Source organism: Homo sapiens, chromosome 16 (assembly GCF_000001405.40).
Source record: "Homo sapiens chromosome 16, GRCh38.p14 Primary Assembly".
NCBI lineage: Eukaryota > Metazoa > Chordata > Mammalia > Primates > Hominidae > Homo > Homo sapiens.
Genome location: NC_000016.10, coordinates 23699882 through 23722606, shown reverse-complemented (window position 1 = coordinate 23722606; position 22725 = coordinate 23699882). Strand labels below are relative to the sequence as shown.

Here is a 22725-nt window from a genome sequence, read left to right as displayed (position 1 = left end):
GTTCCCTGAAAATCAACTGTTATTCTGTTCTTTTTCAAGGTGCACTGATTTCATATTGTTCAAACACACATGTTTTACAATACATTTGTACAGTTAACACAATAGTGGTCCTGAGGTGACGTACATCCTCAGCTTACGAAGATAACAGGATTAAGAGATTGAAGTAAGAGAGGCATAAGAAATTATAAAAGTATTAATTTTGGGAACTGATAAATGTCCATATTAAAATGAAATCTTCACAATTTATGTTAAGAGATTGCAGTAAAGACAGGCATAATAAATTATAACAGTATAATTTGGGGAACTGATATATGTCCCTATTGAAATGAAATCTTCACAATTTATGTTCCTGTGCCACGGCTCCAGCTGGTCCCTTCGTTCGGGGTCCCTGACTTCCTGAAACAGTGGAGGGTGGGAGGAGGCAAAGGTTTAGGAAAAATAACTAATAGGTACTAGGCTTAATACCTGGGTGATGAAATAATCTGTACAGCAAACCCCCATGACACAAATTTACTTATGGAACAAACCTGCACTTGTACACCTGAACTTAGGATAAAAGTTAAAAAAAAATTAGAATGAATAAATAAATTGTGGCATATTCATACAAAGTAATGCTATACTGCAATGAGAATGAACTACAGCTACACATCTCACAAAAATAATACTAAAAAGGAAGCCAGACATTGAAGAGCACATGCTGTATGATTCCATTTATATAAAGATCAAAAACAGACAAAAATAATCTGTGGTGTAAGAAGTCCAGGTAGAGGTTACTCTTGAAACAGGGCACAAGGAACTTTCTGGGGGAGTTGCTCAAGTTCTGTTTGTTGATCTGTGCACAAAAAACAGAACACAAACAATCACAGTCAAACAGATGTGTTCACTATAGGACCTGTGATTTTTGTACCTTCTGTAGGTATGCTATACTTCAACAAAAAGTTTACTATAAAATACAAAATAAATTTTCCCGTCTCCTAGCTCCTAGATAGTTCATGTAATATTGTAAACCATCCTCAGAGAACTTTATTGTCTTATTTTTCATATTTACCTTTAATCCATTAGAATGTATTTTATGTATTGTGGTAGGCAGGCTTCTAAGATGGCCCCAGTGATTGTCACCTGCTGGTATTCATGACCTTGTATCATCTCCTCCCTGGAGTGGAGGCTGGAACTGGCTTCTGACAAATAGAATATAGCAAAGTTAGGCCAGGTGCAGTAGCTCATGCCTGTAATCCCAGTACTTTGGGAAGCCAAGGCAGGAGGATCACTTGAGGTGGGTTTGAGACCAGCCTGGCTAACAGGGTGAAACTCCATGTCTACTAAAAAAAAAAAAAAATACAAAAAGTTAGCCAGGTGTGGTGGTGTGCACCTGTAATCCCAGCTACTTGGGAGACTGAGGCATGAGAATCGCTTGAACCTGGGAGGCAGGGGTTGCAGTGAGCTGAGATCACACCACTGCACTCCAGCCTGGGCAACAGAGCCAGACTCTGTCTCAAAAAAAAAAGGGCAGGGGGGCTTAGAATATGTTAACAGGGTATCATTTCTGAGATTAGGTTACAAAAGACTGTGACTTCCACCTTGCCAGCATCTCTGCTTTCTCTCTCATCTCTCTCTCTCTCTCTCTCTCTCTGATGAATTAACTTGCAATGTTATACACTGCCCTTTGGACAGACCCACATGACAAGGAACCAAACAAGGGTGGACCAACACCTCTTAAGGAACTGAGGCCCTTAGTCCAACAGCCCACAAAGAAATGAATCCTGCCATCAACCACAGAGTGAGCCTGGAAGTGAATCCTTCCCCAGTCAACCCTTAAGATGAGTACAGCCCAGACAGACACCCTGATTGCAGCCTCACTAGACTTGCAGCGCTGGGCCCTGCTAAGCCACGCCCACATTCTTGACCCACAGAACCTGCCGAAGAAGAACTGCTGTTGTTTAAAGCCAGCAATTTTGGGGGTACTTTGCTATGCAGCCATATAAAACTAATGCATGTGTGATATAAGAAATAAATTTTATTTCTTCCTGATAGATAGAAAATTATGCCAAGGATTCATCAAATAGTCCAATGAATTAAACTATCATCTTTAGCTGAGTGTGGTGGCGAGCACCAGTAGTCCCAGCTACTTGAGAAGCTGATGTGGGAGGATTGTGTGAGCCCAAATTTGAGGCTGCAGCAAGCTATGATCATGTCACTGCACTCCAGCCTGGGTGACAGAGCAAGACCCTATCTCTAAATAAATAAATAAATAATAAAAATATCATCTTTGACATTTATTAAATTATCATATATATTGATATTTATTTCTGGATTCTCTGTTTAATCCAACTTGTATATTTATTTATTTGTCAATTCCTGTGCTAAAATTATATTGATGCTGTAGTTTTGCAGTATGTTCTGATATCTAGTAAAAATAAGCCCCTTTCTGGCTGGGCACGGTGGCTCACACCTGTAATCCCAGCACTTTGGGAGGCCAAGGTGGGTGGATCACGAGGTCAGGAGATCAAGACCATCCTAGCCAACATGGTGAAGCCCCGTCTCTACTAAAAATGCAAAAAAAATTAGCTGGACGTGGTGGCAGACACCTGTAGTCCCAGCTACTCGGGAGGCTGAGGCAGGAGAATGGCATGAACCCGGGAGGCAGAGGTTGCAATAAGCCGAGATCGCGCCACTGCACTCCAGCCTGGGCAACACAGAGAGACTCCATCTCAAAAAAAAAAAAAAAGAAGTCCCTTTCCCATGTTTCTTTATTCTCACACTTTTCTTGACTGATCTCAAGCATTTATTTTATTTCAAATTTTTTATCTTTAATTTTTATGGGTACATAGTAGGTGTATATATGTATGGGGTACCTGAGATGTTTTGATACAGGCATGCAATGTGAAATAAGCACATCAAGCATTTATTCTTGCATATAATCTTTATTTTAGCCAATTTTTAAAACCTTGGATCAAAAGAATTATATTATACTTATATTTTAATTTGGGGAGAATTTTTTTGTTGTTTTTTTGGGAGTTTTTTGTTTTGTTGGGGAAAATTTTTTGTTTGCTTTTTAGATTTTGTTTTGTTTTGTTTTGTTTTGTTTTTGTTTTTAGAGACAGGGTCTCACTGTGTTACCCATGTTGGAGTGCAGTGGTGTAATTATTGCTTACTGCAGCCTCAAACTCCTGGGCTCAAGTGATCCTCCCACTGCCACCACACCCAGCTATTTTTAAATTTTTTTGTGGAAACAGAGTCTCGCTATGTTGCCCAGGCTGGTCTCAAACTCCTGGCCTCAAGCAATCCTCCTGCCTTGGCCCCCCAAAGTGTTGGAATTACAGATATGAGCTACCACACGCCCAACTTAATTCAGGGAGAATTAACATATTAACCCCTATATAAGATCTTCCCACGCAGGAACATCCCTTTACATTTGTTCACATTTTGTTTTATGTCTTTCATAAGATTTTAAGGTTTTCTTTCTGTAGGTCCTGTGCCTTTCTACTTAAATTTATTCCTAGGCATTTTCCTTTCGGTGGTATTATGATTGGAATATTTTTTGTTTTCTCTTCCTGTTTTCTCTACTCTGTTGCTAGAATATGAGAAAAGCTATTGATGTGTGTATAGATCTAGAGATTTCAGAGCCCTTGAGCACAAATTGAGGTGCAGGGAAGAAACAGAATTTTATTTCTTTATAACTTTAGAAAATTTATCAACTTTGTAAAATCTTATAGAACTTCATAGACTTTATAAAATGTAACTTTTATTTTAAGCTCCCTTTGTGCCAGGTGGAAGAAATTCAATCCATCTGGCTCCTCCTAGCCTTTTTCAGGGTGGGTTTAAGTTCCGTGGAGGCTACACAGCACCAGCAGGCAAGAGGGCATGGGGGTCTGGTCACCATCTGCACCAGCGGGTGGCCCCTGAGATGCCAATGGCCTCTGCTGCATCGCCTGTCCTTCCCCTCTGAAGTCTCCCTCCTCCCTCCCTCCCCCGCTCTCTCTCTCTCTCTCTCCCTATATATGTATATATACACACACATACATACATGCATATATGTATGTATGTATGTATGTATGTATATATATACACATTTATATTTGAGCACGTGTTCTCTCTCTGCCATTTTATTTTATTTTATTTTATTTTATTTTATTTTATTTTATTTTATGATGGACTCTCACTCTGTCACCCAGGCTGGAAGGCAGTGGCGCGATCTTGGCTCACTGCAACCTCCGCCTCCCAGGTTCAAGCAATTCTCCCGCCTCAGCCTCCCAAGTAGCTGGGATTACTGGCACCCGCCATCATGTTGGCTAATTTTTGTATTTTTGTAGAAATGGAGTTTCACCATATTGGCCAGGCTGGTCTCAAACTCCTGACCTCAGGTGATCCACCCTTCTTGGCCTCCCAAAGTGCTGGGATTACAGGCGTGAGCCACCTCGCCCGGCCTCTCTCTGCCTTTCTGTTTTGAGCACGCATGTTCTCTCTCTCTCTTTTCTGAGCACGCATGTTCTCTCTCTTTACCTCTGTCTCTCTTTGTTCTCTCTCTCTCTCTTTCTTTCTTTTGAGCATGCATGCTCTCTCTGTCTCTATTTTGAGCACACATGTTCTTTCTCTTTACCTCTCTCTCTCTCTTCATACACATGTATTTTTTGAGCACACGTGTTTTCTTTCTCTCTCTGTCTCTATTTTGAGCATGCATGTTCCACTTTTTTTTTTTTTTTTTTTTTTTGAGATGGAGTGTCGCTCTGTCACCCAGGCTGGAGTGCAGTGGTGCGATATTGTCTTACTGCAACCTTCACCTCCCAGGTTCAAGCGATTCTCCTGCCTCAGCCTCCCTAGTAGCTGGGATTACAGGGATTACAGGCATCGGCCACCACACCTGGCTAATTTTTTTTGTATTTTTAGTAGAGATGGGGTTTCACCATGTTGGCCAGGCTGGTCTGGAACTCCTGACCTCAAGTGATCCACCTGCCTCAGCCTCCCAAAGTTCTGGGTTTACAGGAGTGAGCCACCCTGCCCAGCCGCTATCTCTCTCTCTATTTTGAGCACACATGTTCTTTCCATCTCTCTCTCTATATATATTTTTGGGCACACGTGTTCTCTGTGTGTGTGTGTGTCTATTTTCAGCATGCATGTTCTCTGTCTCTATCTCCATCTCTATTTTGAGCACACATGTTCTCTCTCTCTCTTTCTGATTTCAACACGCATATTCTCCATCTCTATGTGAACATGCATGTTTTCTCTTTATCTCTACTAATCATCTTTCTCTCTCTCTCTCTCTCACTCCATCCTCCAAGCCACTCTCAGGCACTCAGGCATGTGGTAAACATCCCCACCCGTCTCCATGTCACAGTGGACAGTGGGGACCCCTCTAACGGGCCCCTCTGCCCCAATACAGAATGCAGCTTCTCTTCTGGAGTCTTCCTGCTTTCCCAGGCTCTCCCCAGGAAGCAAAACGCAGAACCCCTCTGCTCTTGGACCCCACAAACCCACATGGGGTCCCCTCCTTGGATGAGGGGAGGGGCTGCAGGCCTGGGTCTCCCTTCCTTGGGGACCTGGAACAGCTTCTCCCTGTCCCTTCTTGTTCTCCTTCCTCTCAAAGTCGGGAAAATCTTTTCCAGTCTCGTTTAGTGTCTGAAATCTTTTTTTTTTTTTGAGACAGAGTATCACTCTGTTGCCCAGGCTGGAGTGCAGCTCACTGCAACCTCCACCTATGGGGTTCAAGTGATTCTTCTGCCTCAGCCTCCCAAGTAGCTGGGATTACAGGCACGCACTACCACACCCGGCTAACTTTTGTATTTTTAGTAGAGACAAGGCTTCACCATGTTGGCCAGGCTGGTTATTGTCTCAAATCTAGGGTCCTAACCTGAGTTTTCTGAAAACTCAAAAACTAGAAGAATTTTCATTTTCTCTTTCTGCTTTCTCATCCATTTGCTGAGGTAACAAAATTTAGGGCTGACTTGCTTGAATGGGAGAAGGACTGTTGGGGAAAAGGAAACTCTGGAGTGGAAAAAACATGTAAATATTTGAACATAGGATCCCATCATACATACAGGCACAGGGAGAAGAAACCATTGGCGGAAGTAGGACAGAATGTTAACGGGGTGCTGTTTTCAAACGGTGGACCCATGAATGAACTTTTTAAAAAAATTTTATTTATTTATTTTTTATTTTTTTTATTTTTATTTTTGAGTTGGAGTGTTGATCTGTCTCCCAGGCTGGAGTGCAATGGCGTGATCTTGGCTCACTGCAACCTCTGCCTCCCGAGTTCAAGCAATTCTCCTGCCTCAGCCTCCTGTGTAGCTGGGATTACAGGCATGTGCCACTACGCCCTGCTAATGTTTGTATTTTTAGTAGAGACAGGGTTTCACCATGTTGGCCAGGCTGGTCTTGAACTCCTGACCTCAAGTGATTCACCCACCTCAGCCTCCCAAAGTGCTGAGATTACAGGATGAGCCCCTGCACCCAGCTGATTATTATTAATATTTTTGAGATAGTGTCTTGCTCTTTAGCCCAGGCTGGAGTGCAGTGGTGCAGTCACAGCTAACTGCAGCCTCCAGCTCCTAGGCTCAAGTGATCCTCCCACCTCAGCCTCCTGAGTAGCTGGGACTACAGGTGTGAGCCACCACACCTGTCCAGATATTTTCTTATTTAAATTTTTCTGAATTTTACAAAGTTTCTAGAATGTATATTGCTTTTATCATTACACACACACACACACACACACACAATTTATTCCAGTTCATTTGCAGTTTGTATTTTATGCAAGTCAAATTTTTTGCATGAGAAATGCCTGAATCCAAGCATAGTAAACACAATGTACATTTCAAAACAATGCAGAGTGTACAAAATATAGAGCAGAAAGGAGGGTTCATTCACACACTCAATAGCTTGGGTTAGGTTCTACAATGGCAAACAATCACTTTTGTTATAAAGTTAGGAGTACTGGGCCAATTTAGGGGTGTTGGAACAGCTAAGCATGAAAGAGCAACCAAGTAAACTAAAGACTTCATAATGTACATATTTCTTTGTTTTTGTTTTGTTTTGTCTTGTTTTTTATTTATTTATTTATTTTGAGACAAAGTCTCACTCTGTTGCCCAGGCTGGAGTGCAATGGCACGATCATGGCTCACGGCAGCCTCCACCTCCTGGGTTCAAGCAATTCTCCTGCCTCAGTCTCCCAAGTAGCTGGAATTACAGGCATGCGCCATCACGCCCGGCTAATTTTGGTATTTTTAGTAGAGACAGGGTTTCACCATGTTGGCCAGGCTGGTCTCAAACTGCTGACCTCAGGTGATCCACCCACCTCGACCTCCCAAAGTGCTGAGATTACATGCATGAGCCACCGCGCCCAGCCTGTTTTGTTTTTTAGAGACAGGGTCTCACTCTGTTGCCCAGGCTGGAGAGCAGTGGTGCTACCTGCAGCCTGGATCTCCTGGAATCAAGGGATCCTCCTACCTCAGCCTCCCAAGTAGCTGGGGCTACTAGTGCACACCAGCGTGCCTGGCTTATTTTTTATTTTTTGTAGAGACTGAGGTCTTGCTATGTTGCCCAGGCTGCTCTTGAACTTCTGAACCTGGTATGGCTTAGTGTGAAATAACTTTCACAAAAATCCCAACCTGTTTCAACCCAGCCTAAGACAGTGGTGTAGTTCCTTCAGATGGTCAGCTAGGAGGTCCAAGCAGGATAAGGACAAGGAAGGGGCTGACAGAGTGGAAGAGAGACTGAGGGATGAAGGTACCGTGTAGGTCAGGGCACAGGGATAAGGAGAATGAAAGGGTGAAACCGTTGCATGGAGAGGAGGCTGCAATCAGAGAAAGGGACATTGGAACTAAAGTGGTTCTGAGTGTGACAAGGGCCCAGTGCAGTTGTGGCGTGGGGGATAAGGTCTCCAAAGAGGTACACCCACTGAGAGGCTGCAATGCTGGCTAAGCTGTACCTTGGACATTGAAGACACCAAGGAGAGTGGCAGGATTTGTGATGGAGATGAAGGCTAGGGGCCAAGCTACCAAGTTTTCAGTAACTGTGAGGGGATGACCAGGAGGGCCAAGGATGACAAAGAGGACGGGGAGAAGGTGGCAGAGCTGGGCTGCATGACCCTCAAATCAGCAGGGATTTTTTTTTTTTTATTTTTACACAAGGATGAAGGAGACATGAATGAGTTGAAACTTGCAAACAGGGTGGACCTTACCTTCAAGGACCCTGGCAGACCCTCTCTGAACAAAACTGGAGACATCTACCAGGAGCAAGGGTGGTCACGGCCATTAGAAGGTGCCCTTCCATGCGGAGTTGTCTTACATCTAAGGCATAGGAATCTCTAAGCTCTACGAAGACAGGGACCTCATCATCTTGTTCATCAGGCAGGCATGTCATAGCTTATAATAAATGCATATTTATTGGCTGGGCGCGGTGGCTTATGCCTGTAATCCCAGCACTTTGGGAGGACGAGGTGAGCGGATCAACTGAGGTCAGGAGTTTGAGACCAGCCTGGCCAAAGTGGTGAAGCCCCATCTCTACTAAAAATACAGAAATTAGCTGGGCATGTTGGCCCACATTTTTAATCCCAGCTACTCGGGAGGAGGATTGCTTGGACCCAGGATGCAAAGGTTGCAGTTAGCCAAGATAGTGCCATTGCACTCCAGCCTGGGTGACAAGATCGACTCTGTCTCAAAAAATAAATACATGCATATTTATTTATTTATTTTATTTTTGGAGAGTGTGTCTCTCTCTGTCGCCCAGGCTGGAGTGCAATGGCACAGTTATAGCTCACTGCAGCCTTGACTTCCTGGCTCAAGCAATCCTCCCACCTCAGCCTCGCGAGTAGCTGGAACTACAGGTGGACATCACCACACCTGGCCATTTTTTTTTGTAGAGATGGGGTCTCACTATGTTGCTGGTCTCCAACTCCTGGTTTCAAGTGATCCTCCCTCCTAGGCCTCCCAAAGTGCTGGGATTACAGAGGTGAGCCACTTACCTGACCCATAATAAATATTTATTGAACGAACGACTGAATTCACCAATTAATCGCTATTTCCTGATAGCCCACCGGGATCCGCTGGTGCAATGATAAAGAGCGCAGGCTTTGAGATCAGGCGGATCTGTATTGGGACTGCGGCTCTCAGCCTCCGCTTGTACCTGCTGTGCAGTGAGGACTCCAGGAACTGATGATGAACCGGCACGGTCCTCGGCACGTGGCAAGTTCTCCATAAGTGGGCTCAGTAAAATCCCTCTCCCGGGAAAGCGCCCCACCGTGTTTGGTGGGGTGACTGGGACGCGAGGATGCGGCTGGGAGTGTGATGAGAAGGGCGGGGATCGGCGAGGACTCCAGGCTGGGGTTGCAGGCCCAGCCAGGGGCGGAGCCTTCTCCGGGTCGGGCGGGGACAGAGCGCTCCCTTGGAGGCACCCAGGGACCTGGCCAGCCGTGCAGCTGCCCAGGCGCTATGGCGAGTGCGGTCAGGGGGTCGAGGCCGTGGCCCCGGCTGGGGCTCCAGCTCCAGTTCGCGGCGCTGCTGCTCGGGACGCTGAGTCCACAGGTGAGAGCCAGGGACCGACGCCAAGTCCCCAAAGTCTGGTCGCGGGGCGCAGGGGGCGGCGTCGCACTTGGGGCGAGGGCGCGGCGGGGCCACGGGGGCACCTCTCCCTCCCTCACGCCTGGGTGGTCCCAACTCGGCCCCAACGGAGTAAAAGCCTCCTGGGTTTGGGGAGCCGCCAGTTGCCCCCAACAAATACCTAGCTGGGGAGATCTGCCAGCGTGGAAAGGCAAGAGTAGACAGAGCACCCCGCCTCTTCAGCAGGGAGAGGTGTAGTCTGGGGTAGGGGGGCACCTGGGCACGAAAGCCAGGCCTCTTAAAACTTCTGGGAATCCTGGCTTCCTTTGAAAATATGATTGACTTCAGGGCCCTCTGCTGAGAAATGAGCCTGCACGCCCAGTTTTGCAATTTCAGAGGCTTTACAATACGGTCCCCTTACCCATGGCTGCACCCCAGGTTCAGAACCTATGGGATAAATGAGCTGGGAGTGTCAGTATCTGCTCCCACGGTGCCAGGAATAGCAGAGTCTTACAGAAATGCAGCCAGGAGGCAAAAGTCGCCTGGCCTAAGAATCCAGGTGTCCCGCCTAGAACCCCCATGGGGCAAAAGCGATCAGGTAGAGTTAGGCACCTCTCATTCCCGGCTTCCACCTCATGGGTCCACCTCATGGTTGCCAGCTAAGAATGCAAGCCCAGTGTGGCCAGATCGGATGTCTCTGGAAAAATTAGAAATGAGAAAGATTTGAAATCTTGGTTTTTTTGTAGAAATCATCCAATTTTTAAAAAAATTGGCAGCTAATTGAAAAATTTTTAAGCACTAGATGGTCAAACAAAATTCATTTCTGGGCAACCAATCTGCAGCCTCTTCTCCAAACCGTTCTCCCTCCTGCCATGCTGCAGATGACAAAATTGAAGCCCAGAAAGAAAGAGGGGCTAGCAGATAATTTCCTGACCCTCCACTCAACACCAGTGGCCCAGCCCCAAACCTGAGGGTCCTGAAGCAGGATGTGGCCTTTGTAGGGGTGCGGCTGGGCCACCCGGATGTTAGGCCTCCTGCTGGGAGCTCAGCCTCACCCTGTTTGCTCAAGGAGGGACTGGAGCAGGTGAGTGAGCCCAGGATCGCCAGATGTAAGTACGGGTGGCTCCAGCCCCCCTCCCAAGGGCACCCCCCAGCCTTGGGTCAAGGGACCCACTGGAGCCTGGCACCAAAACCAGCTGGGCTGGTTTGGGGAGGCAGAAAGGGGCATCCCAAAAGAGGTAGACATTGTGGCAGAGGAAAAAGAGGCCAGGCATAGGAATCAGAGGGATGGCAACTCAAGTCCTTAGTTTTGCCACTTATTATCTCTGTGGCTTTATGCCAATGACCTAACCAATGACCTAACTTTCCTGAGCCTCAGTCTCCCTCCTCTGTAGAATGGGAAAACTAATAATACCAGTCTTAGAATGGGTGCAGTGGCTCATGCTTGTAATCCCAATACTTTGGGAGGCTGAGGCAGGAGGATCGCTTGAGGCCAGGAGTTCCAGACCAGCCTAGACAACATAGCAAGACCCCATCTCTACAAAAAAATACAAAAATTAGCCAGGTGTGATGACAGACACCCGTAGTCCCAACTACTTGGGAGGCTGAGGTGTGAGGATCAGCTGAGCCCAGGGGTTTGAGGCCACAGTGAGCTATGACTATGCCACTTCATTCCAGCCTGGGCAATAGAGCAAGACCCTGTCTTATATTAAAACAACAAGAACAATAACAAAAAGAAACAAAACAAACAATGAAGTCATTTTGTAAAGGCCTTTAGTCTTCTTTGGAAAACCAGAATGAATTGAGGAAGGAGGTAAGTAATTGGGAATTTAGATACATTGGGAGCCAAAACCTCCCCTCAGAACCCCCCAGCTTCCACTATAACCCTTCTCTAGGGTCAAAGAGATGATGAGTGACACCAGCACGTTCCCCAATCACCCTTCCTCCCCTGCTGCATCCCCATCTGGGGGAAGGGGAGTCATGGCCAGCCCTGCTTGGGACAGGAGCAAAGGGTGGTCCCAGACCCCTCAGAGAGCTGACTTTGTCTCTACCCCCTTGCAGGTTCATACTCTCAGGCCAGAGAACCTCCTGCTGGTGTCCACCTTGGATGGAAGTCTCCACGCACTAAGCAAGCAGACAGGGGACCTGAAGTGGACTCTGAGGGATGGTGAGCAAGAGGTGGTCCCTCCTCCCTCCTTGGGCCCATAGATTGGTGAAGGGATAGTCACTGTGGCATAGAGAATAAGAACATGGGCTCTAGAATCCAATAAGCTGGTATCTACAGGCAGCTTCACTGCTTACCAGCTGTGTGGCCTTGAGAAACCCACCTTACCTCTCTGATCCTCAACATCCTCATCTATAAAATGGGGCAAAGGATATGACCCTATCTGACAGAGTTTTTGGGAAGATGGCATTACATTCACACCAAGTGCTTGACATCACAGTCATGCCATAGCTCAGTGAATATGAGCTGTGCTTTTCAGTGGGGTCTGGAGGAAACTGCTTATGTTCTGTGTCCCTGTCCCTGCAGATCCCGTCATCGAAGGACCAATGTACGTCACAGAGTAAGTGAACCTGGGGCCTTTTAAGGAGGAGGCTTCTGGGAGATGGGGGACTCATAGTTGTCTGGAGAGAGTTTGTATGTGGGGCAGGGACATGTTGGAAGTAAGGGAAGAGAATTGGCTCTGGATGTGATATAGGGGAGGGTCTTGGAGCCCCATGATGTTTCCTACAAGAACAGGCTCCTAGTAGCTGAGAAATTGGAAGGAATTTGGGGCCTTCATGAAACCAGGGGGCAAGAACCCATTGGTCTCCTTGTTTCTCTCTGCTCCACAGAATGGCCTTTCTCTCTGACCCAGCAGATGGCAGCCTGTACATCTTGGGGACCCAAAAACAACAGGGATTAATGGTTTGTATCCCATGGTGTTCGGGAATGGGTGAGAGCCAGGGCTTTCGTCAGCTGGAGCACTGAGAGGTGGAGAGGCAGTATGGTCAGTATCTCCTGTTCTGCAGAGGATATAAGTCAGGACTCAGCACATTGTGAGAAGGCTGTCTGAGGGACCTGTTGAAAGGGTGGTAAGGGGAGGTCTGGCTGTGTCTGCAGGGCAATCTGACTATCAAGCTGGAGGTATCCCAGGGCCTTCTCCAGGACTCTGAGGGCTTTAAAGAGAAATGTATATACCAGTTAGCTTTTGCTAAATAAAAATCAACCCAAAACTCAAGAGCTTAAAACTAAAACATCACTTAAATTTATTCAACTCAGAATTTGGTGAGATGACAATTTAGGTTGGGCTCAGCACAGTGGTTCTTCTGCTGGTCTTGACTGAACTTGTTCATGCATGTGTGGTCAGCTGCTAGTCAACTGGATGGCTGTGTTTCTGAAAGTTGGTTGGTAGTTGGTTGGCTTTTGGCAGAGGTGGCTGGGCCATATGTCTCTTATCCCTAGCAGGCAAGCCTAGGCTTGTTCACATGATATCAACAAGGGACCCCAAAGCAGCAATACATAAGCACTTTTCAAGCTTCTGTTTGTGTCACATTTGCTAATGGCTCATCAGCCAAAGCAGGTCACATGGCCAAGCTGAGAATCCAGTGGTGAAAAAACAGATTCCATCTCTTTATGGAAGGAGCTGAAAACTCACCGTGTGAAGGGACACAGACACAGACATGAATACAAGATGAAAAGCAATCTGTGGCCATTTTTTGCAATCTTCCACATCAGGACTCTGAATGGGGTGGAATGTGCTTTGTCGGAATTCCTTTTTTTTAATTTAAACAAATTTTTTAAAGACAGCATCTCATTATGTGTCCAGGCTGGAGTGCAGTGGTACGATCACAAGGCTCACTGCAGCCTCGAACTCCTGGCCTCAAGCAATCCTCGCACCTCAGTATCCTGAGTAGCTGGAACTACAGGTACACACCACCACACCCAGTTCTTTGTCAGAATTCTAACCATGTCAGGGGAAGCCTGCTAGAAAAGTCTTAAGTATATGATTTAGGAAGGTGAAGTGATAAGAAATTTTAGTGTGTCAATCAGGCAAGGTCTCAGCTGCAAACACATGGCATACTCAAATAGAATAGTTTGAGGACATTTTGTTAAAAGTGTGAGCAGAGTATAGGAAACCACAAGGGATAGTGCAGTATATTAGTTCATTCTTGCATTGTTATAATAAAAAAATACCTCAGACTGGGTAATTTATAAGAAAGGAGGTTTCATTGACTCATGGTTCTACAGGCTGTACAAGAAATGTAGTAGCTTCTGCTTCTGGAGAGACCTCAGGAAACTTACAATCACGGCAGAAGGCATGAAGGGGAAGCAGGCACGTCTTACATGCCCAGAGCAGGAGCAAGAGAGAGAAAGGGAGGAGGTGCCACCCACTTTTAAACAACCAGATCTCGTGAGAACTCTATTACAAGAACAGCACTGGCTGGGCACGGTGGCTTATGCCTGTAATCCCAGCACTTTGGGAGGCTGAGGTAGGCAGATCACCTGAGGTTAGGAGTTTGAAACCAGTCTGGCCAACATGGTGAAACCCCGTCTCTACCAAAAAATACAAAAATTAGCCAGGTGTGGTGGCACGTGCCTGCAGTCCCAACTGCTTGGGAGGCTGAGGCAGAAGAATCGTTTGTACCCGGGAGGCAGAGGTTGCAGCGAGCCAAGACCGCACCACTGCACTCCAGCCTGGACAACAGAGTGATACCATGTCTCCAAAAAAAAAAAAAAAAAAAAAAAAAAGAATAGCACCAAATGGAAAGATCTGGCCCCACGATCCAATCACCTCCCACCAGGCCCTACCTCTAACATTGGGGATTGCAATTCAACAAGTGATTTGTGTGGGGACACAAATCCAAAACATATCATGCAGTATCCTTTGGTTTGTGACAGTGGGGTGACATTATCAGCCCTAATTCTGGAGGCTGGGGAGGGAGCAGCTACCACAGCCTGGAGCTGGAGAGAGCTGTCCCGAGAGCACCACCCGATGGGACCTCAGGGCTTCGGTAGAGGAACACAGCCAGCCCGTGAGGACTTTGTGACAAGGACAGCAGGGCATACTCTGATCTCACCCTGTCCCCATTATCCAAACCCAGCAGGAAGCTAGAGCACATGGTGCCCACAGACATAACCCAGACAAGTCCAGCTTTGGGGAGAAAGCAGAGTAGAGAAGGGTGGAGGATGGAGCTCCACTCCTAGCCAGCATCAGGCCATGGTCTCCTTTATTCTAGAACAACTCCTTCACTTCTGTGAGTCTCTCATGGCTGTTGACAGTTTTGAAATATTCATGTGAGTTGTTTTGGATTTTTGGAATTAAACTCCCCACTTGATGTGTGTGCGGCTTTTTTTTGTTTGTTTGTTTCATTTTATTTTGTTTAGAGACAGAGTCTCACTCTATTGCCTCGGCTGGAGTGCAGTGGCACAATCATAGCTCTGCAGCCTTGAACTCCTGGACTTAAGCGATCCTCCTGCCTCAGACTCACAAGTAGCTGGGACTACAGGCACATGCCACCATATTCAGCAAATTTTTTTTTTTTTCTGTAGAGACGAGGTCTCACCGTGTTGCCCACGCTGGTCTTGAATTCCTGGGCCCAAGCGATCCTCTGCTTCAGCCTCCCAATGTGCTGGGAGTATAGGCATGAGCCACCATGCCTGCCCCAGTGCAAGTTTTCGAGGAGGTGGTCAGGTCAGGCCGAGAGCAAGTGGCTCACATGATACCTTGACACTGGGTGTGGGAATTTCTGCATTTCCTCAAGAGGCTGTGTAGCAAAATGATTCAGTGTGCTGGCTCTGGAGCCTGACTGCCTGGGTTCAAGGCCAGGCTCTGCCATTTAGTAGCTGTGTGACATTAGCCAAGTTACATGGCCTCTCCAAGCCCCAGTTTCCTTACCTGAAAAGTGGAAATGATAGTAATACCTGTTAATTGGTTGCTATGGAAATGGGCTCACCTGGCACAGTGAGCACTGTGTGTTGCTGCTCTTACTCCTTCCTGTAAATTTTCCGTCTCCTAGAAACTGCCATTCACCATCCCTGAGCTGGTTCATGCCTCTCCCTGCCGCAGCTCTGATGGGGTCTTCTACACAGGTGAGCATCTCTTCAGCCTGTGGGGTCCAGGTTCAGCCAGCAGAGGCAGGGATCTAAGTCGTGACGGCTAATTAGGCACAAGAGTGGCGGGGCCACACCTCTTCCCATGCCAACTTGAGAGCTAACACACTTTCCACCTCCACAGGCCGGAAGCAGGATGCCTGGTTTGTGGTGGACCCTGAGTCAGGGGAGACCCAGATGACACTGACCACAGAGGGTCCCTCCACCCCCCGCCTCTACATTGGCCGAACACGTGAGTTGGGCCCCAGCTGTTCCTCAAGCTCTGGGCAGCCTCCCCTTTTGCTCTGCTGAGATCTAGCTGTGGCTAACCAAGTTGAATTCAGGACAGTCAGTCTGTTAGTCATCAACAAACATTCTACAGAGCACTGAACTAGGAGCCAGGAATAGAGCTGTAAACAAGACAGCTCCAGTCTCTGCCACTGTGATGTTCACAGGCTTCCAGGTCTCTAGGCTGTGTGCTCAGGAAACCCCCACTCCTGCAAGATAAATGGCCCCTGGGGTTGGAGGGAGCATCAAATGGACGTTCCTGGTAATCTTGCTTCTGGGATCCCCAGAGTATACGGTCACCATGCATGACCCAAGAGCCCCAGCCCTGCGCTGGAACACCACCTACCGCCGCTACTCAGCGCCCCCCATGGATGGCTCACCTGGGAAATGTGAGTTCCACCTTTCTCTGGTCCCATCTTGGAGCAAGGTCCCCAACCCAGGGAACCCTGAACAGCATCCATGACCAATTCCCAGCCACATTTCGACCCACTTGACCTCCCCAGGGACCCCATATACTAAATGGCACACCCCTGATGGCTGACCCCAAGTGACTCCCTCAACACCCAGACTGACCCTCCTGAACCCTGGCCAATCCCTCAACCTCCTAACTCTTCTATACTCCAAGTGGCCCCAACCGGGTAACCCTGGATGACTTCCCACATCCAGAGTGACCCCAAACAGCCCCTAAGCAATCTCTGTGTGTCCTAACTGACCCCTATATATAACCCCTGAAAGCTAACCCTAAGTAGCCTCTTCCATAGACCGACTCCCCAGGTGACCCCGACCACTCCCCACCATTTTTTGTGAGATGGGGTCTCACTCTGTCACCCAGGCTGGAGTGCAGTACTGTGATCACAGCTTACCGTAGCCTCCAACTCCTGGGCTGAAGTGATCCCCTATCCTCAGCCTCCTGAATAGCTGGGACTGCAGATGTGTACCACCAAGCCTGGCTCATCTTTTAATTTTTGTGTAGAGATGGGGTCTTGCTATGTTGCCCAGGCTGGTCTCAAACTCCTGGGCTTAAGTAATCCTCCTGTCTTGGCTTCCCAAAGTGCTGGGATTACGAGCATAAGCCACCACACCTGGCCCACCCCCTTGATATTATGACTGATACCCAACTGCCTGAGTGACCTTACAGGTGCCCCAAGGCCCCCTCAAGCCCTGATTCCATCATTCTGCATGAGACCCTACACAGGTCACCTCAGCAGAGGTGAGGTCACCTACTCGCCCCAACTGACCCCTCTCACACTGTAAGTGACTCCCAAGTGACCCAAATGCCTCCAGGCCACCCTGATTGATCCATCCCAGGTGACCATATGTTGACCATGAGCAATACCCCACCATCCTAAGTGACCCAAACTGACTCCCACACATCTGAGTCACCTTTGAATGACCCTGACTGATGGCCTCGTTTTCAAAGTGACTCCATGAACTCCAACAAACATTCTCATGTCCAGATAACCCTCCATGTGATCTCCACACACCAGACTGACCCCTCACCCAGAGGGCACACCCTTGGACCCTCTTAGGAGAGCTTCCAACCACATCTCCCCAGCCACCTTTCTCGGCAGACATGAGCCACCTGGCGTCCTGCGGGATGGGCCTGCTGCTCACTGTGGACCCAGGAAGCGGGACGGTGCTGTGGACACAGGACCTGGGCGTGCCTGTGATGGGCGTCTACACCTGGCACCAGGACGGCCTGCGCCAGCTGCCGCATCTCACGCTGGCTCGAGACACTCTGCATTTCCTCGCCCTCCGCTGGGGCCACATCCGACTGCCTGCCTCAGGCCCCCGGGACACAGCCACCCTCTTCTCTACCTTGGACACCCAGCTGCTGTAGGTGTTCGTGCCTGGGGCCCAGGGAGGGAGCCATCTGGGAGTGTCGCAACCTGGGTCTGATGGCCAGGCGAGATGTTCAGCTGTGACACACCAGTACCGCTGAACCAGGGGTCAAAACATTTCAAATTGGTTACTTACCCAACTGGTTGGTAAATAACCAGTGTCCTCTGCTGCCCTCCAAGTGTCCCCGGGACCCCCTGGGTAGCCCCCACTGTTCAGCAACTCATACGGTAAGATCTGGCCTAGGAGGGTGTATTAGTCTGTTTCATGCTGCTGATAAAGACATACCCAAGACTCGGCAATTTACAAAAGAAAGAGGTTTAATTGGACTTTCAGTTCCACGTGGCTGGGGAAGCCTCACAATCATGGCAGAAAGCAAGCAGGAACAAGTCACATCTTACGTGGATGGCGGCAGGCAAAGAGAGAAGCTTGTGCAGGGAAACTCCCCCTTATAAAACCATCAGATCTTGTGAGACTTATTCACTATCACAAGAACAGCATGGGAAAGACCTCATGATTCAATTACCTCCCACCGGGTCCCTACCACAACCCATGGAAATTCAAGATGAGATTTTGGTGGGGACACAGCCAAACCATATCAGAGGGGGACTCCAGGTCTTAACCTGTTCTGGTTGGTAGGTGCTGTGCCTTATGGATTGTTAAATACTTTAAATAACAACCTTATTTAACTTACCTTATTTAACAACTTATTTAAGGTATTATTGCATCTAATACCTTAGTGTCCCCATCTTGATAAACCAGTAGACAGCTTGGGAAAATCAGGGATCATCTATTCATTCAATTCATTCTGCAAATATTAATTGAGCACTTACTGTGTGCCAGTCTCACTAGAGTCTGGGAGTACAATAGCAAATAACCCAGCCATTGTTCCTGCCTCAGGAACCCGAGTCTAATGGGAGAGACAGATATGTGAAGAGACTATTGCAACCTGATATGATAAAGGATGAGATGAAAGTAGTATAAGATGCCATGGGAATGTATAGGAAGAGTACCCACATCAAGACTGGGGACAGGAGGCAGTCATGGAAAGCTTCCTAGAGGAAGGAACATCTAAACTGAAACCTAAAAAATGAATAGGAAATGAGAGAGATGAGAGAGCATAGAATTCAGGTAACAGGAAAAAATTAAATAAGACTGAAATACAGACCTGAGAAAGGAGTAGAGCCTGAGATTATAAGCTAAGAAGAGATCTTGTAGGATCATTTAAAGGGCTTGGACATTTTCTCCTAAAGTTAAAAAGTCACTGGAGAGTTTTAAGGAAGGAAGTGATTTAATCATATTTTCATTTTAGAAAGAATATCTTAGAATGGTATATGGAAAGAAGTGGACCATTCATGGAATATTGATTTGTTCAGGCAAGAAATGAAGATACTTTATACTAGAGCAGAAACTAGAGAGAGGAAAATAGGTGGAGTGTAAGATATATTAGAAGGAAGAACTAGTAAAAATTTGGTGATTAGGGAGTTTGACGATTGTGAGCAAGGAGTCAAAGATCATGCTCAGGTTTCTAGAAGCACGTGGGTACTGTCATTTTCAGAGGCAGGGAACACTAGAGGAGGTGGGGGAGAAGAAGGAGGAAGAAGTAAAGGACGATGTAATGAGTTTATATTTAGAAAATTGAGCTCTTGAAAGAGGTCTGGGTTAGACATAGATTTGAAATCATGACTATGGAACATGTATCAGCTAGCTTTAGCTGCATAACAAATTGCCCCAAAACAGAGAACTTAAAAAACAACAGTTTATTATTTTTCAAGATTCTGTGGGTCAGCTGGGGTGGGTTGTTTTTCTGCAGTCTGCTCATGGCTTGGTTGAGTCTGGAGAATCTAGGATGGCCTCACTTACCTATCTCATAGTTGATGGACTGTTTGACCTATGGGGGATTAAAGAGATCTCTCACACCCCAGCAGGCTAGCCTGGGTTTTCTCCCACGGTGGTCTCAGGGTCTAAAGAAAAATGCATAAGGAAGCCTGAAGGCACAAGCACTTTTCAAGCCTCTACTTATGTCACATTTGCTGTTGTCTAATTGATTAAAGCAAGTCTCATGGCTAAGCTGAGTCAATGTGAGAGGGAAATATACAAGGGCATGAGTACCTTGATAACTGAAACTACCCATCACCAGCATTCATTCTTCTCTTCTTTTTCTTCTCTCCCACTAGAATGACGCTGTATGTGGGGAAGGATGAAACTGGCTTCTATGTCTCTAAAGCACTGGTCCACACAGGAGTGGCCCTGGTGGTAAGAAGTGGTCTCTGAGTGGGCTGGAAAGAGGATGAACGGGAGAAGAACCTCCCTCACTCATGGCTCTCCATCTTCTGCCATAGCCTCGTGGACTGACCCTGGCCCCCGCAGATGGCCCCACCACAGATGAGGTGACACTCCAAGTCTCAGGAGAGCGAGAGGGCTCACCCAGCACTGCTGTTAGATACCCCTCAGGCAGTGTGGCCCTCCCAAGCCAGTGGCTGCTCATTGGTGAGATCCTCTGGCTCAAATTGGGAGTAGATGAAGATAAAGAACCTGTGAGCCCAGCTTCTGAGCTGGAAAGCTAAGGTCCCCTTCAGCCTGATGACTTTTGCCCCCCACCTTAGGACACCACGAGCTACCCCCAGTCCTGCACACCACCATGCTGAGGGTCCATCCCACCCTGGGGAGTGGAACTGCAGAGACAAGACCTCCAGAGAATACCCAGGCCCCAGCCTTCTTCTTGGAGGTCAGTGCTGGGAGGGGAGAGAGTGGGGGTAGGGAGGCCCCAGCAGATGGGGGGAATAGCCCTTGGATCTTTTCCTCGGGCTGCTAAGAATAACACTCGGGGGTGGGTCAATTGACCTCACACAATTTCCCAGACTTTTTGTTGGGAACAACACAACTTGTTGTTGTTGTTGTTGTTGTTACTGCCAGAAACACGTTAGAAGTGTTAAAAAGTGGCTGGGCAGGTGATTCATGCTTATATTCTCAGCACTTTGGGAGGTCAATGTGGGAGGATGGATGGCTTGAGGTCAGGAGTTTGAGACCAGCCTGGGTAATATAACAAGACCCCATCTCTACAAAAAAATAAAAATAAAAAATTAGTGGGGAATGGTTGTGTGCATCTGTAGTCCCAGCTACTCAGGAGGCTGACGTGGGAGGATTGCTCGAGCCCAAGAGTTTGAGGCTGCAGTGAGCTATGGTCACACCACTGCACTGTATAACACAGTGAGACCCTGTCTCAAAAAAAAAAAAAAAAGACATTGACTATTTAAATCATGAAACATAGGTCACATTTTCTTTATTCTTCTTCAGCGTAAAAATTGTAAAATATTCATTGAAAACAAAAACTATAAAAGCATGTGCTCCTGGGAGAGGTTTGGACCAAAATCACTAGTAAGTAGCTCAAGGTTAGAAGGAACAGCCATGGCCTAGAGCAATAATTCTCAAATCCGGTTGCTCATCAGAATCACCTGGGAGCCCACTCCAGCGCTAACGCGTTTAGGATCTCTGGAGGTGGACATCTATATTTTTAGTGACATTCCAAGAGTACCTGTATTTTTTAGTGACATCCCATGAAATGCTGGTCATTGGGTAGGTTTAGAAAACCGTTCTTCTGGGCAACATGATGTTTCAGCACTGTGGAGAGTGCCACGTTTCCCACCATACACAGACCACTCACTGCCCCTTCAGCTAAGCCCAGCTCTGTGCTGGGTGATGAAGAAAAGTTAGGGGTTCCCTGGTGGAAGGGGGTGCTAAAAGTGAAGGGCCCTTTATCCCCAGCTATTGAGCCTGAGCCGAGAGAAACTTTGGGACTCCGAGCTGCATCCAGAAGAAAAAACTCCAGACTCTTACTTGGGGCTGGGACCCCAAGACCTGCTGGCAGCTAGCCTCACTGCTGTCCTCCTGGGAGGGTGGATTCTCTTTGTGATGAGGCAGGTAGGCCCACCGCCCTGACCTCAGGTCTATCTGGGGAGAACGCTGCTTCTCCTCTCTGAGACCACTCAGCAACTCTCTCCCTCTACCCAGCTCTGATTTTGCCCCCTGCCTCCCTCCCAGCAGCTCCCCAGGCCCCTGCGATCTTGCTCTGTAAGTTCATGCAGTCTGGTGAGGCCATCTCAGTCACAGATACTGGGCCCATCACGGGGCAGGGCGTGGCCAGGACAAAGCTCTCTTAGGCTCTCATGTTACAGCAACAGCCGCAGGTGGTGGAGAAGCAGCAGGAGACCCCCCTGGCACCTGCAGACTTTGCTCACATCTCCCAGGATGCCCAGTCCCTGCACTCGGGGGCCAGCCGGAGGAGCCAGAAGAGGCTTCAGAGTCCCTCAAAGCAAGCCCAGCCACTCGACGACCCTGAAGGTGAGCCTGTGTGAACAAGACAGGGCAGTCAGGAACAGAGAAAAGCCAGGGGCAGATTTAGCTGCAAAGCTGGTTTATTAAAAGCCACTATAGTGGGGTGGTTAGGTCTACATGAATTAAGAAGAGTGTTTTGAGTAGAGCCTGCTACGTAATTGAGCACTCTAGGAGTGTCTGCTGTCATTTTTTCATCATTATTTTTTTGGAGACAGGATCTTGCTCTGTTGCCCAGGCTGGAGTACAGTGGCACAATCATAGCTCACTGCAGCCTCAAGCTCCTGGGCTCAAGAAATCCTCCCTCCTCAGCCTCTCAAGTAGCTGTGACTACAGGCATAAACCACCATGCCCAGCTAGTTTTAAAGTTTTGTTTTGTTTTGCAGAGATTGGGTCTCGCTATGTTACCCAGGCTGGTCTTGAACTGATGTCCTCTAGTGATCCTCCCACCTTAGCCTCCCAAAGTGCTGGGATTACAGGCATGAGTCACCATGCCCAGCTCATTATTGTATTATTATTTTCAAGGAACCTGGGTGTAGATAAAACTGGGTATAGATCTAAGGCTGCTCTCTGTTTACCTCTTTTGAGCTCAGTTTTTTCATTTGTCAAATGGGAATAATAACATCCAGTTCATTACATCATCTCATCATGAGAAGTCACAATCAT

General features: G+C 47.6%; 1 protein-coding gene across 7 annotated transcripts in view, besides 1 other annotated feature; it reads left to right on the top strand.

Moving 5' to 3' along the window:
• Positions 1-9384: 9384 nt before the first annotated feature.
• The window catches only part of ERN2 (endoplasmic reticulum to nucleus signaling 2), a 22913-nt gene continuing 9572 nt past the window's right edge, over positions 9385-22725 (top strand). For 3 of the 7 annotated variants that reach the window (XR_950727.2, XM_011545713.2, XM_011545712.3), the window contains exons 1-13: positions 9385-9512; positions 11589-11694; positions 12058-12091; positions 12363-12435; positions 15528-15600; positions 15746-15853; positions 16176-16277; positions 17460-17724; positions 19905-19983; positions 20070-20217; positions 20334-20455; positions 21493-21648; positions 21772-22068. Coding sequence is in view for 6 of the 7 variants with exons in the window: in XM_011545713.2 (XP_011544015.1) it covers positions 9420-9512; positions 11589-11694; positions 12058-12091; positions 12363-12435; positions 15528-15600; positions 15746-15853; positions 16176-16277; positions 17460-17724; positions 19905-19983; positions 20070-20217; positions 20334-20455; positions 21493-21648; positions 21772-22068 (1656 nt within the window). In the remaining variant the exon portion in view is untranslated. Of the gene's footprint in view, positions 9513-11588; positions 11695-12057; positions 12092-12362; positions 12436-13394; positions 13437-15527; positions 15601-15745; positions 15854-16175; positions 16278-17459; positions 17725-19904; positions 19984-20069; positions 20218-20333; positions 20456-21492; positions 21649-21771; positions 22069-22725 lie in introns of those variants that run through there. The other 4 variants (NM_033266.4, XM_011545711.3, NM_001308220.2 and 1 more) reach the window with 3 other exon arrangements.
• Positions 17125-17625: an enhancer, noted in NCBI's record as "H3K4me1 hESC enhancer chr16:23716303-23716803 (GRCh37/hg19 assembly coordinates)". NCBI's record gives its function as "activates a minimal SCP1, AML or CMV promoter by ChIP-STARR-seq in naive and primed H9 embryonic stem cells {active_cell/tissue: H9 hESC(naive and primed)}" and the evidence as "EXISTENCE:reporter gene assay evidence [ECO:0000049][PMID:30033119]".